General features: G+C 34.6%; 1 long non-coding RNA gene and 2 pseudogenes across 1 annotated transcript in view; 1 reads left to right on the top strand and 2 right to left on the bottom strand.

The window, feature by feature from the left end:
- LOC105376637 (uncharacterized) overlaps window positions 1–14,416 on the top strand; it is a 292,809-nt gene that overhangs the window by 184,543 nt on the left and 93,850 nt on the right. The gene's annotated exons all lie outside the window — the stretch shown is intronic.
- MTCO2P26 (MT-CO2 pseudogene 26) lies at window positions 11,427–11,656 on the bottom strand (annotated as a pseudogene).
- Window positions 11,802–12,444, bottom strand: MTCO1P26 (MT-CO1 pseudogene 26; annotated as a pseudogene).

The raw sequence follows: 14,416 nt of genomic DNA, 5'->3' as shown, positions 1-14,416 counted from the left end.
TACGTAATTTAATATTCAAAATAATGCAAGAAATAGTTACTGTTATTTTTATTAAAGATCAACTAATAATGGTGACTTGTATGAAACCAATAAAAAACCTTATAGCTCTCTGATAACGAAGCATACGTTTAAGCCCCTTACCACCATATTGTCCAAGAGAAAATCGAAGCTCATAAAAGATAAACAATTTAGTTATGGTGTGTCACAGTAAAAGAGGAGGAGAGAAATTTTACAAATCTCTGGAACATGCCTTTCAGAGTAAAGTGACTACTGCTTTCTTATCTTCTATTTAGAAACTTCCCTGGGCAATTGCTTTACCACAAAAATGATTTTATTTGAACATTTCAGGTGTGCTTTTAACAGAAAAAGGTTTTCTTTGAAAAATGAAATAATTTGAGAGTAAAATTTAATTTAAATATTATCCTGCAAACATTCTAATATTTGCAGGGTAATTAGAGCAGAATTCTACAAAAAGATCCATCTATGTTTCATCTCAGTATTCATTCTAGTGTCCCAAAGGCTTTATTCAAGGTAGTCCTAAGCATCAGGAAACAGGAAACTGTGTATCAAGAAACAGTAGCATGTTGGGTAGCAGGCGCATGCACAGCGTTGAATGGGAGAAGTATTTCATGGGAATTATCAGTAAATCACTTTTCTAATTTCAAGTTTACACAATGAATGGAAACAAATTAGTTATATCCTCAAGAACAATATCCAGACATAAGTAGTTACATAGAATGTGAGGCTTAAATTTATTTATATAACTTGTTAACATGTATTTGTTCAGATAAATATTTATTGAACTTCTTCTAGTTACCAAACACTGTTTCAGATGCTGACTGAGTATAAGACATAATTCCTACTCTTACATAGTTTACAGTGTAGTTGGAGAGACCAGTGTTTTTCAAATAATTGCATAACAGAAAACATAAAAATATAAATTGGGTTTAGTTTTAAGAAAATATACGTGACAGGATGAAATGTAACAGGGAAAAACCCTAACCCAGAGGATCAAGAAGGGCTTTCCTGAGGAAGTGGATTTTGACTTGAGAGGTGAAGAATCTGTATGGAAAGTGGATGTGGGATGAAAATATGGGCAGTGCATTCAAGGAAGAAAGAAAACACATTCAAAGTGACTGAGAAAGAAAGGATAAAATTTGAGCGGCTGGTGAAAGAATAGGGATTGGAGAGAGAAGTTGTAAATGAAACTCCCTTTCTGGCCACAGGCACCGGCAATCTCAATCTGTTACAATAACACATATTACTTATTTATGTGACCTGAGTGCTACAGATTGGCTCTTGCTTGGTTCTCCTGGGCCGTTCTAGGATTAAGCTTGGCTTCGGTTTGCTCTACTTGGCTTTTTTATTTTGGTACACAGTGACCCTGGCTGTTCTTATGGTCCAGGACAGAAGTTTAAAAGAGGACAGAGTCATGACATGCAAGAGCATTTAAAGGTTCTGCTAGGGAACGGTGTGTCCCATTATTGATCACATTCTTCTGGCCAAAACAAGTCACATGGCCAAATCCAGTGAAGGAACAGGAAAATACATTCTGCTTATATAACAGCATGGTAAGGTAGAAAAATAAATAGATGATTGTGAACAAATAATATACTCTACCCCTGGCTTCTTTTTTATCTCAAATATTTATTTTCCTCCTGTGAACAAAATACACTTGTATCTTCTCCAAGAAACCCAGAAAGTTAAATCACACATTAGACTCAAAGTCCCGGATCTCATGATCAATCTGAGGTTGGTATTTAACTCCTTTTGATCAAGGAATCTATCTACTGAAAATACAAGTTATCCACAGATAGGTAAGTTAAAAATACTCAAAATACAGACATACAGTAGTAGAAAGGGAGCAACATTACCCATGAATACTCACATTCAGAAAAGGGCAGAAGCAGGAGAGGGCAGAACGGTCACTGGTCCTAATTGTTTCTGAAATCCTGCGGGAAAATGTTATAATTTCCCTTACTTTATAATAGGAAAATTTTCTCCCCCAAGTAGTTTGAGCTCCCTCAAAAAACTCAAACTACTTGATGCCAGTCAGTTCCATATGCCAATTGCAACACCAATTCTTTTTGCTATATGCCTCTCTCTAGACTTAATTAAGGGTACTTTGAGCTTATCAGACTTCCATCTAACCATATGCTGGATCTCTTTTTCTGAGCCATTTTGTCTAACAGATAGGATTTACCGTATTGGGGCCCAACTTAATGCAATGATACCATATTTATTCTTTGCCCAGAGGCTGAGTCTTAACTCAAGAGTCTTTTATAAACGAGAATGCAAAAAGTTGCCTCTTTCAACTCTGAAAACCATGGAATTTCTTATCTTTGTCTTCTCTTTCATCTCTGATTGTGAAAAGACCAAATTATTTTCTAAACTCACTTAATTCAGAGCACCTAATAAACCATAATTCAACCTATCTAAATTCTGCTTTGAAACCTCTTCAGCCAAAGCCACAGACCTATTAGGTACTTTTTCTTGCCTTCCATTTTTATATTTTTCACTTACATGAGAATTTTAAACTAAATATGTATTTGGGATCTCAGAAAACTCCTGGCCAATCCCTTTCAGGGTTGGAAATGCTCAGTTACAGAAACATACGGCGACAGTCTCTGTGATCTACCCACAGAAAGAAAATGATCTCCAAAGTAGGAAATCATTTATTGAAAATAAATGAATCAGTGATTATATTTACAAATATAACTAAGATTTTAATGAAAAACCTAATACCAGCTGTCTTTACCATTAAAACAACAACAACAACTCATCAAATCAATGTTGGAGGATTCTTTTCAAAATTCTGTAGGAAAATAATATTTGCTGGTTTAAAGATCTTAAACTTCAATTACAAATTTTACTTCCATAACACAACATTTACTAATGTATTGATTCATATAATTTGTTCCATTTACACACTGTATTAGTTATCTTCTGTGACACAAAGCTACCTAAGAAATAACACCAGAACCTCTGTGATTTATAAACACAAGTTTTTTTTTTTCTCACCTTACATTTTGATTTCAGGCTACACTCTACTTCTTTTTCTCTCTAGTTTTGAGGATAGATTAGCAGAAGAAGGAAAAGGGAATGTGGCCAACAATTCAATGACAATGAATAATTCTGCTTGGAGCTGGCACATGTCACATCCACTCACATTGCATTAAACATAGCAAGTCATATGTACCAGTCCCTTCTCACACTGTTATAAAGAAAGACATGAGACTAGATAATTTATAAAGGAAAGAGGTTTAATTGACTCACAGTTCTGCATGGCTAGGAAGGCCTCAGGAAACTTACAATCACGGTAGAAGGGGAAGCAAACACTTTCTTCTTCACAAGGTGGCAGGAGAGAGAATGAGTGCCCAGCAAAGGGGGAAGACCCTTATTAAACCATCAGATTGCTGGAGAAAGCACTCACTGTCACAAGAATCAGCATGGGGGAAACTGCCTCCATGATTCAATTATCTCCATCTGTTCCCTCCCACGACATGTGGGGATTATGGGAACTACAATTCAAAATGAGATTTGGGTGGGTACACAGCCAAACCGTATCATCATATAACCAACCTCAAAATAAAAGGATTTGGGATGTAAAACCTTATCATCATATAACCAACCCAAAAATAAAAGGAGTAGGGATATAAAATCCTTCTGATATGGAGGGGGAGAGGAGTACATCATAAAGAAATAAAGTTAATTTTTTATAAATAATAATTTTTCTGTGATTTTATATTTTTACTATATATTGTATATAATTGTTTGAGTGTATATTCATATGTGTTGACAAAATGTTTTAGAGAAGAGGCAAACAAATATTTCAGTGAAAAGGTTAGAATGATTTGAGATGTCACCATGGTGTAATGTGATGTGAAACTATACTGACAGACCGAATGCTTTATGTTCCATTTGTATTTAGAGAGAAATAAACCAATAAGCCTTCAGAGTCTTGTGACTTGGAGAACAAGTTTACATTAATTAGTGTTCCTCTCAGGCTCCAGTTGGCCAATATGTAATGAAGTGCAAAATGAGACATTTGACTGTGCCAGTGAGCCATTTAGCTGAAAGATACTACATAATTGGTTTGAAGTGCTTCCCACTCACTCATGTCATGTATGGAGGTCTGGAGTGGTATTATGGGATTACAAGGTTATAGGATGGTGAACTAGACAAGAAAGCATAGGCTCTCACAATCCCAAAATATTAAACAGGTTTTTGGGAGCATCTCTCCAATTTTATTTTATGATCATATTAACATAAAGTAACACAGAAACTAAAGTAACCAAAACTTCTGCTCAGTCCCTGTTTGCCACAGTTGCCCATTTTTATAAGATATCCTCGCTCTGATCACCTTGGATATTTCAGATCTTCTCTACTATATATTCCACTGTGCATTTATGTTAAAAATCTTATGAGATTTTATTTGCCTATGGATTTATTAAATAATTTAAAATATTATTAGAAGCAGGTAATATAGCAACATTTGAGCATGCTTTATTTAAACATAGATTCTTACGCATAAGTTCAAACATAGGAAATACTGTGTAGGTTACATCTTGTCTGTGGAAATATAAAAGAGTTAAAATCATGTTACGATAAAAAAAATAAACCTCGCAAAAAGTTTTTGAGACAACACAAGCAACATCTTCGAATTATAAAATTTTAAAGTAGAAAAGGCACTAAGAAATCTAATACCAATGCCTTTATTTCTATAGGAGGAATCTTGAGAGAAATGAATCTTGAAAAATGTGTGTGCTTGAAAGTTAGTGGCAAAAGTAAGATTATTTATTCATTCATAAATTTGTTCATTTATGCAAGCATTTACATATATTTAATAGTTAACATATACTGACTAAATATAATGTGCCTGGTACAGGTCTAGGTGGTAGGGATGCAACAGTGAAAGACAGGATTTCTGCTATTTGGAGATTACAGTCTAAACAGAAAAACAAATATCAAAAATTACCTAGACATTGGTTACCATGACAAAGGAAAAGTAGAGAATATCATGGGGAAAAAAAGAAAGCGAATAAATTCGAACCCAGAAATGATTATTCTAGGCCTCATGCTTATAACACTCCACATGTTTTGCAGCTCATTGTTATGGCACTCAACCTGTTCTCCATCCAGTGAAAATATTTCCTGATTCTAATTAAATTTATGTGTGTCTGTCTCTTATTTAGCCAAACTCCTTTTAATGAAACTTTAAGCTAATTTCATTTGTTTTTGTGTGTGTGCTATTAACAAATAATACTTCAATGAATGTTCTACACATGGCTCCTTCTCACATGTGCAAATGCATCCATTGGTTGTACCATGATATAGAATTGCTGGGTATAAGAAAATGCATATTTAAAATTTTAACTGATGCTTTCAGATTACTCTCTGTGAGTATCTGTACTGATTTATATTCTCACTTAGCATGTCAGATACTTGCCAGTAGCTGATATTGAACATTTAATGCTTGCCAATCTTACATGTGAAAATGGTTTCTCATTAAAGTACATATCTCTTATTTCTAATTATTTAGAGCTTTTGATTGAATCTTTTGTCTGTGATTTTTATTTTATTGCTTGTGCTTTTATTGATCTTAACAGTTAAATATCCTTCAACTTTGCCTGGATCATTTTATCTCCCCCATTGTCATTCCAGAAAAGCACCTGTGTTTTCTCACATGGATTACTGTAGTTTCCTAACTGGCTCTATGCTCAGTCTACCTAACCCACCCCTCAATCTATTTACCATATGCAGTTAGAAGGACCTGTTTCAAAATTCTGATCTGACCACATCATACCTCTTCCTTGGCTTACATCATTTCTGTGGTTTCACACTGCTTTTAAGGTAAAGATCACCATCATGAACATGAACTAAAGACACTACATGAACTTGTGCAGGAAGGCAGGTTTCCAAGATGACCTTGGCTGATCTGGCTCAGCCCCACTCCTGCTTGTTTCTCAGAATAACTGTAGGATACTACATTATGAAATAAGGAGGAAATGTCTGAAACAACTCAGGCTGTGTCCTTGTTTCTGCCAGAATGGGATGTCTTGCAATGCTGTGTTCAGCAACCCAGTATAAAACTGAGAGTAGAATGCTTTCAGAGTCCCTCAGCTGCAGCGTGATGTGCAGCATTACCAGATGAGACTTCCTCTTTACTGGGGATCTTTCCTGAGCCTTGGGGGAGCTGCTCACCATGAATCCCAGGCTTCTGTTTGTCCTTGCTGCCTTTCTGTGAGTAATAAATTTGCTTGGCATGACTTGATGTGTCAGTGTTTGGTCTCATTGGATTAGACCTAAGAATGTAAATGATATAGTTATATCTGATGTGGAAGCTGAGTCTTCTTGGATCCCCTGCTAGAGTCAAGAATCCTTGTAATTTGGCCGGGCGCGGTGGCTCACGCCTGTAATCCCAGCACTTTGGGAGGCCGAGGCGGGCGGATCACGAGGTCAGGAGATCGAGACCATCCCGGCTAAAACGGTGAAACCCCGTCTCTACTAAAAAAAAATACAAAAAATTAGCCGGGCGTAGTGGCGGGCGCCTGTAGTCCCAGCTACTTGGGAGGCTGAGGCAGGAGAATGGCGTGAACCCGGGAGGCGGAGCTTGCAGTGAGCCGAGATCCCGCCACTGCACTCCAGCCTGGGCGACAGAGCGAGACTCCGTCTCAAAAAAAAAAAAAAAAAGAATCCTTGTAATTTTTCTTTAACTTTCTCTAAAGCTTCTCCTTGGGCTATGTTGTCTTCCAACAACACAGGCCTTCCTTTAGTTCCTGTAATATGTCACATCCCTCCACAACCCAGCGCCTTTGGACTTACTGCTCCTTTCTTCCTGCATTCCTGTCCCTTCAACTTCCCTTAATTAACACCTACACACTTTTCAGATCTCAGACTTGTCACAATTTCTTAAGAAAAATCTTTCCTCTACTAAGTGAAACTCTCCCATGGAATGTTCTTTGTGATATCTGTTTTGTTTTATTATTTATTTATTTACTTGTATATTTTTGTTTGCCACTTTAGTATCTGTTTTCCTTAATCAACTCTAAGCTGACTGAGGTCACAAATGGTATCTGGTTTTGGTAGCCATTGTATTTTGTGAGCCAGTATTTTTTTAGTGTCTGGAAGATGTTACATGTTCAATGGTTGAAAGAGTTAAATGAAAATCTCATTTAATAGCACCCTTCTACATCTCTTGCTCTTATTCTAGGATCTTGACAATATACATAATTTAAAGTCTTCTATATCCTAACGTATGCATAAAATTTCCCTAGGTGTTCTGATTTGGACAGATTTCATAGTTCATATGCAGTGTTCTCATTTTAGCTTATTTTTAATTAGTTTTCAGTTACTGTTTGCTTTCCTCTGTAATAAAGATAGTAATTTATGTAGACATTCGTAGTTCTAAGTGTTTGGATATTTCGAGCTCTCTTTTAATTGTTCATTTCCTAATTAATTGCATTCTAGTCAGATAACATGGGATGTGTGACTCATGCAGTTGATATCTTCTGGTTCTGATTTGTGACATGGTGGTATTTGGGTAGTGATCCAAAAATATTTGAAAAAATGAACTCCCTGTTTTTTTGGATAGAAATGAATTGCCTGATAATTAAAAAGAGTTAATCGGAATACTCAAACATCTTATACTCATTAAACTTGTTAATATTCCTCAGAAGATTTTATGTCCTTTTTTTGTTCTGAGAGGTCTTTTGGGGTTCAATAGGACATTTTCCCTTCTAACAGTACTTGGAGATGAATGGTAGATTTTTTTTTAACTTTTCTTTCTACATTCCATCCCTTTGTTTTATGTTACATATGTTCACTCAATAAACATTTATATTTATTGAATTTACTAAGTATCAGCTCTGGGAATACAAGTCAGCAAAACAAGAAAAATAATTGCTTTTATAGAATTTACGTCCTAGTGGGGAGCTTACATTTTAGTGTAGATTGCATTTTGCATTCTTTCATAACCTTTGGCTTGAACATTTACATTGCTAATTCTACATTAAGTGCTTTGTTCTATTAAACCTGCTTCTTCAGGTGTTATGTCTTTTGTTTGTTACATTGATCACCAAAATTTAGTACTCATGTTTTCGTATCATTTGTCCTAGGTATGTATTGCTAGGACTTGACTACTTGATATAGAGAGAGGTCAGGACAGATAAAACATTCCTATCATTTGTCTTCCGGGTATGCAACATCCTGATGGGTTATTACAGATAAATTGGCCTGTTTTTCTCACTCTGGTATGTAACAATACTCTCAGCAAGAGACAAAGCAGCAGAATATAGTTGCATTAATTCTCAATGCAATTTTTCAAGTAATCGCCCTAACATTGACTCCAGGGACCTCTGCAACTCATTATACAACTATTAATTAACTTTAAACTGAAGTATCTCTGTCTTTGCCATTGACTACTGCATTCTCTATTGCAAATAATTTGGGATATCATTTAATTATTTTTCCTCTAGAGCTGATTCCTCTTTGATGATCTCTTCAATATTATGAGTCTTTCTTATTTTTAGTACTATTGTGTATTTATTATATTTTAAAATATAATTATTTTAAAGTAACACTGTGTGGGATGAATATGCTTAGCAAATGCTTAGTATGCTATGTTGAGTTAATCTTTTATAATTATTTTATAGAACAATTTGTCAAAATGTGTAAAATTTAACATTCCCACTACCTTTTACTGGATAGTGTTTTTAGGAACTAATCTAAATATATATATCTATATAGCTATAGCTATAGATATATATAAAGATATATACAGATCTATATAAAGATATATATATATATTTATCCCTTTATATATATAAAGATAGCTACAGATGATTTTGTACTTTAGTTGACTTGGTTGTAAGTACCTCATATATTGGTCCAAGGTAAGTTTTTGAAATGTTGAAAAAGGGTTCTCCTTTATAATCTATCAATTATAGGAATTAAAAAGCAGGATGATCCTAATCTATCAAGTAAATCATTTTATGTTATTTTATTTATTGAATTGCAAAGTTCACTGGAGGTTATGCATTTAAACATCTCCCAAATTAAATTAGCAAAACAATTTATTTCCTGTTATGTTTTTTGAGGAAAAAGGATGATATTCTTTCCACTATCTGTATCTGCAGTTACAGCTAACTCTGTCACATCCAACTGCCAGTATTTACAGAAGTGTTCCAAATTAATTTCAAATAAAATTTAATGATTTATTTCAATCTGTTTATAAAGCAGAGACGTGCATACGTCGATTTTTGATAACTGGATACTTTATCTGATTGTTAGCTAAGGAAAGTTCTGTTATTTTAAATATTGCTGTCCTTGGGAATCTTCTGGAGATTTACGTAAAACAAACAAAAAACAAAAACAAGTTTTTTTCTTTTACAATGTCCAGATGCAAAATTTATAAGTTAACTCCTGTTTGCTGTGTTCCTGCAATACTCATAGTTGACTATATGAATGATCTGACATATCAGCAACTAACTGATGTTATAATAACGAGCTTGCATTCTCTCTCCTTTAAGTGAGTGTTTTATGAAGTTAAAATATATGAAGAAAACCTTAATATTTAACTCTTGGTAGGACTGAGAAAACAGAAGTCTTTCAAAACCTGGCAATGTTAGACAAATAAGATGAGGCATACTTAGGAAAAGCCATTAAAACAATACTGTCAAAATAAACTCCAAAAATCAAAGACTCTGTTTAGTATTAGCATGTTTACAAATTTTATTGTTTCTTGTTGTACACATTGTACATGGAACTTTTTTTGTTTAAATAAAAAAATTTTTAAAACCCACACAATTCTATTAACATCTGAGTTAGATTTGGAATATCACACATTAATCTAAACCTCTTACTCAGTGTAGCTTCGGTTTCACCTAAGTCACTGTTGTTGTAACATGAGGTTTTTTTGTCTTTCATTTAACCATATGATTGAAACATATGATTTTTCCTTTGCTCTTTATTCACTTTTTGTTTATAACAATAGTTGTAATGATATTGGACATTTATAGGGGGATTCTATTTAGAAAGCAATAGATGGAAACGAATATGTAAAAAACATCAGGATAACAAAGTGGAATTCAAGACCTAATTTGTCTGTACCATCTTTTGAATCTGAGAAAATTCAAATGTTATATATTCATTTATTTTTATTTTATGAACAAATGTATAATGTTTAAACTGCAAAACTGTTTGATCAATGTCACTTACTAACCAACAGTGTGGACGAGGTCAATAAAGCTTCATTCTCAGGATTGAAGAGACAATTATTTATCTAGGACAGTGTCCAGCACATGCTAGAAGCTTAATTACATAGTAATTTTTTTTTCCATTTATGATTCCAGTTTCCTGAATGGAAAAGTGGAGCTCAAATAGTGAATCCCAAAAGGAATTATGACATCATATATTTCTCATATATTATGAAGACAAATATTCAGGGAATGTATACAAAAGATAGCAAATAGCTCTAAACTCACATATCAAAACAGAGTGATTGGTCTTTGCTGGTAGTGGTCTGGCTGATGTTTGGACTGTCAGCAAGAAAAATTGCTAAAACTGATGAATGATGAATAATATTTGGTTTGTGTATAGAAGTGTTGGTTCAATACTACATCCATGCAGATTATTTTCTATTCTTTTTTTTTTTTTTTTTTTGAGACAGAGTCTCCCTCTGTTGCCCAGGCTGGAGTGCAGTGGTGTGATCTTGGCTCACTACAAGCTTTCCCTCCCGGGTTCACTCCATTCTCCTGCCTCAGCCTCCCGAGTAGCTGGGACTACAGGTGCACGCCACCACACCCAGCTAATTTTTTTGTATTTTTAGTAGAGACGGGGTTTCACCTTGTTAGCCAGGATGGTCTCGATCTGCTGACCTTGTGATCTGCCTGCCTTGGTCTCCCAAAGTGCTGGGATTATAGGCATGAGCCACCGTGCATGGCCTATTTTCTATTCTTATATTAACATTTTGTGTAAGCAGGCTTGTTTCTTAACATATGCTCCTCTGAAATTGAAGCTGAAAGTATTATGACTGGTTCCTCTTTAAATGAAGGTACTTTTCAGTCTGAAATGGCCAGATGCTTTTTTTAGGTTTAACGTGTTAAATATAAATACATAGAGATAGGACGAAGATGGCAGATCGGAGACATGGTGGATAGGAGACAGGGCCAACGTGCAGCTCTCACATGGATGGACTGAACAGCATGTGGAGACTCACACCATGATCTTTTGCTCCAAGAACCACCCCAGGCACATACCAGGAAAACCTAAAGAATTCACAGATACTTTGAAAAAAGTGGCACACCACTGCAAATTTTGTGAAACAGGAGAAAAACCATGAGTTCCCAAAGTGTGAGGAGGGAAAACCTACCTCCAAACACATATCACCACTGGGAAATCTGAAAATCCACATCACATGACTGTATCTCAACTAAAATTAAGATAATTGCAGGTAAAATAGTTCAGACAGTCTTGATTTCTTGGGCATCTATGGTGCTAGTATGAGTTAATTTTGTTGTGAGTATTAGGGAAATAACGTATAGGACCAGGGAACTAATTAGGAGAATAATTATGAGAGCATGGCCATGGAAAGTGAGTAGTTCTTCTATAATAGGGGATGTGGCATCTTGAAGGCCTAATTGAACTGGATGAGCCATTAAGACATACAGGATTTAACCTATAAATTAACTTTGACAAAGTTATATAATAATTTTACTAATATCTTATCGAGAGAGTCATAGAGGGTATGGGATTGGCTTGAAACCAGTTTCTGGAGGTTTGATTCCTTCCTTTCTCGTTTAGGTTTTCATGTAGGTTGGTTGTTTGAATGTGTGGTAAAGTGGTGAACAGCCATAAAGTCACTCTAAATTAGTAGATGATTGTTCAATTGTTAGCACTTTCCGTTTTGAAGCAAAAGCTTCTCAGATTATAAAGATGAGTAGTATAATTGTTGTTAGATAAATGAGCCTATGGATGAGATAATTTTTCATGCAGCTGTATGCATCAGGATAAGGAGTAACGTCAGGGCATACCGGATAGGCCAAGGAAGTGCTGTGGAAAAAAAGGTTAAATTAACACCTTTGAATATAATGGTGAAGTAGATTTTAGCATAGGTCTGATTAAGTGTGTAACCTGAAAATAGGGAGAATCAGTGGACAAATCCTCCTGTAATGGCGAATAGTGCTTCTATTGATAGGACGTAGTGGAAATGGGCTACAACATAATATGTGTCATGTAAGACAATATCTTGTGATGAATTAGCTAGTACAGTGCTGGTTAAACCTCCTACCTTGGAAACGAAAATGAATCCTAGGGCTCAGAATATTGCGGGAGATCATTTGATGTTACCACAGTACAGTGTAGCTAATCAGCTAAGGACCTTGACGTCAGTAGGGACAGCAATAGTGATGGTAGCCGAGGTGAAGTATGCCGCTAGTACCACATCATTAGACCAATTTCAGTTAAATTGGATTCCTGTGGTGGCAAGACCCCACTGAATGCATGTCTTTTGTATGCCAGAAACTGTACTATGTTGTAGACTATATGCTTATTTAATTTTCACAAAAACGCTGTGAATGTAGATTTTAATATTACTGTGGAACACTTTCACTTCGATAAAATGAAAAGATATGTCAAAAATCAGACTATTAGTAAAGTTTTAAAGTCATCTCAGTTTGGCTTTTTCTACCATGTAATGAAAGTCAGTAGGAAGCTCATATGGAGCACTGGGTGTTCCTTTCTTTTGTGTTTCAAATATTTTCACTTACTTTTTCTCTTGCCTGCATAAAGCTATGGAAAACACTCAGTGATAACTTATCTTGCTGACGAGAGTAATATTAAAAATAGATTTTGCAGGATATTAATATAAATAATTCTTTAAGTGGATCTTGGGTGATTTTCAAAACAAAAGTTAAGAGCAAAGAATTCTTCTAGGTAGACGATATTGGCCTGAAATTAAAAATGCATTGAAAAATCTAAAGTGAATGTTACTGGTTTGAGGAAGTCACTCTAGCTTCTAAAGAATTTTGATAAAAATGAATTAATGGTTGATTTTGATCTATGATTTGAGCTAAAATTCCCACACTCTATTCCCATCTTCTAAGTGCTTTAAACTAATTTTATTAAAAAAAAAAACACTCTTTCAGATAAAGAGGTGAAAAATTTATTTCTCTGTAGAGATAAACTTTTCCATCAGCTATTCTTAATTACATGTAAAGACCTAAGTTTGCATCCTATAAAGTGTGAATTTTCTATATCTATGTAAAACTATGCCGTTTACATTTTTATTTTTAACATAAATTTTTATATTTAAAAAAATTCATATATTATTTTTAAGGTTATATTTTTGTTGTCATAACATTAAAATAATTAAGCATTTTGACCCACAATTTTAATACATTTACTTCAAAAAGATACTTTCCTTTTAAAAATTTTGTCCAATTTTAGCTGCTTTTGTACTTATTTACATGACTGTAATTATAGTAGTTTGTTATTCTAATTTTTAATTTTATTTGCTATACATTATATAATAAATTCACAATTATTGAGGATTTTACCATCTGACTCCCAGTTACCTTTTATATTAATTTTCTATCATCACAATAAATGATTTTTACAGTCTAGTAGATATGATAGCTAATAAAACAGACTTGAACATTTTTTATCTACATAACACCGGTGCCTCATCTTCACCATACACTAGATATTGGAAGTGGTACAAAGGTATTGTCAAAGATGGAGAGGTGAGCAGTTGTAATTGCAAACAGTCTTTAAATTCAGCCATTCCCTAGCCAAGTCCCTAGCTGACCACAGATCAGGAGAAAACCTTGCTAAGATCAACCAGCCCCAGCCCAAATCAGCAGAATGCCTCAGCCAACCCACTGTCTTATGAGAAGAAACAACTGATTGTTGAATTTAGCCTAACATCTTTTGACCAGCAGAACTTTATTTGTGATAGTATTGTGGAAACAAATCATAGGCATTTCATACTACCTTAAACTTAATTATTTCTAACCTTGAACTTATCATTTACTCTACTGATCCCTCACCTTGTAAATCTGAAATTTTCTCCTGAGTTATTCATTTTGGTGAATAGCAGGAGACACTGTGCAATTTCCCAAGTCCAAAACATCTGTTTATTCCTTTCTTCCCTTTCATTAACCTCCAGCTTATACATTTTTACCAATTCTAGTTCATTTTACCCTATACTTATCTTCAAAATTTATTGACCCTTCCATACTAAAAATTCCTTGGTGTAGTCCCTTTTTATACCTTGTGTAAACATTTTCTTTTTCTTTTTAACTAGGTTTAGACTCATCTTTCCTTCATCAGTATTTCTCTCTTCAAAAAAAAAAAAAAAGTAACCTTACTTTGATACCACATTCATCTTTCTCAAATGCAAATTTGCTCAGGCTAC

This window comes from Homo sapiens, chromosome 11 (genome assembly GCF_000001405.40).
Source record: "Homo sapiens chromosome 11, GRCh38.p14 Primary Assembly".
Classification (NCBI taxonomy): domain Eukaryota; kingdom Metazoa; phylum Chordata; class Mammalia; order Primates; family Hominidae; genus Homo; species Homo sapiens.
The sequence above is the reverse complement of the archived record's forward strand: the minus strand, read 5'-3'. Positions and strand labels throughout refer to the sequence as shown.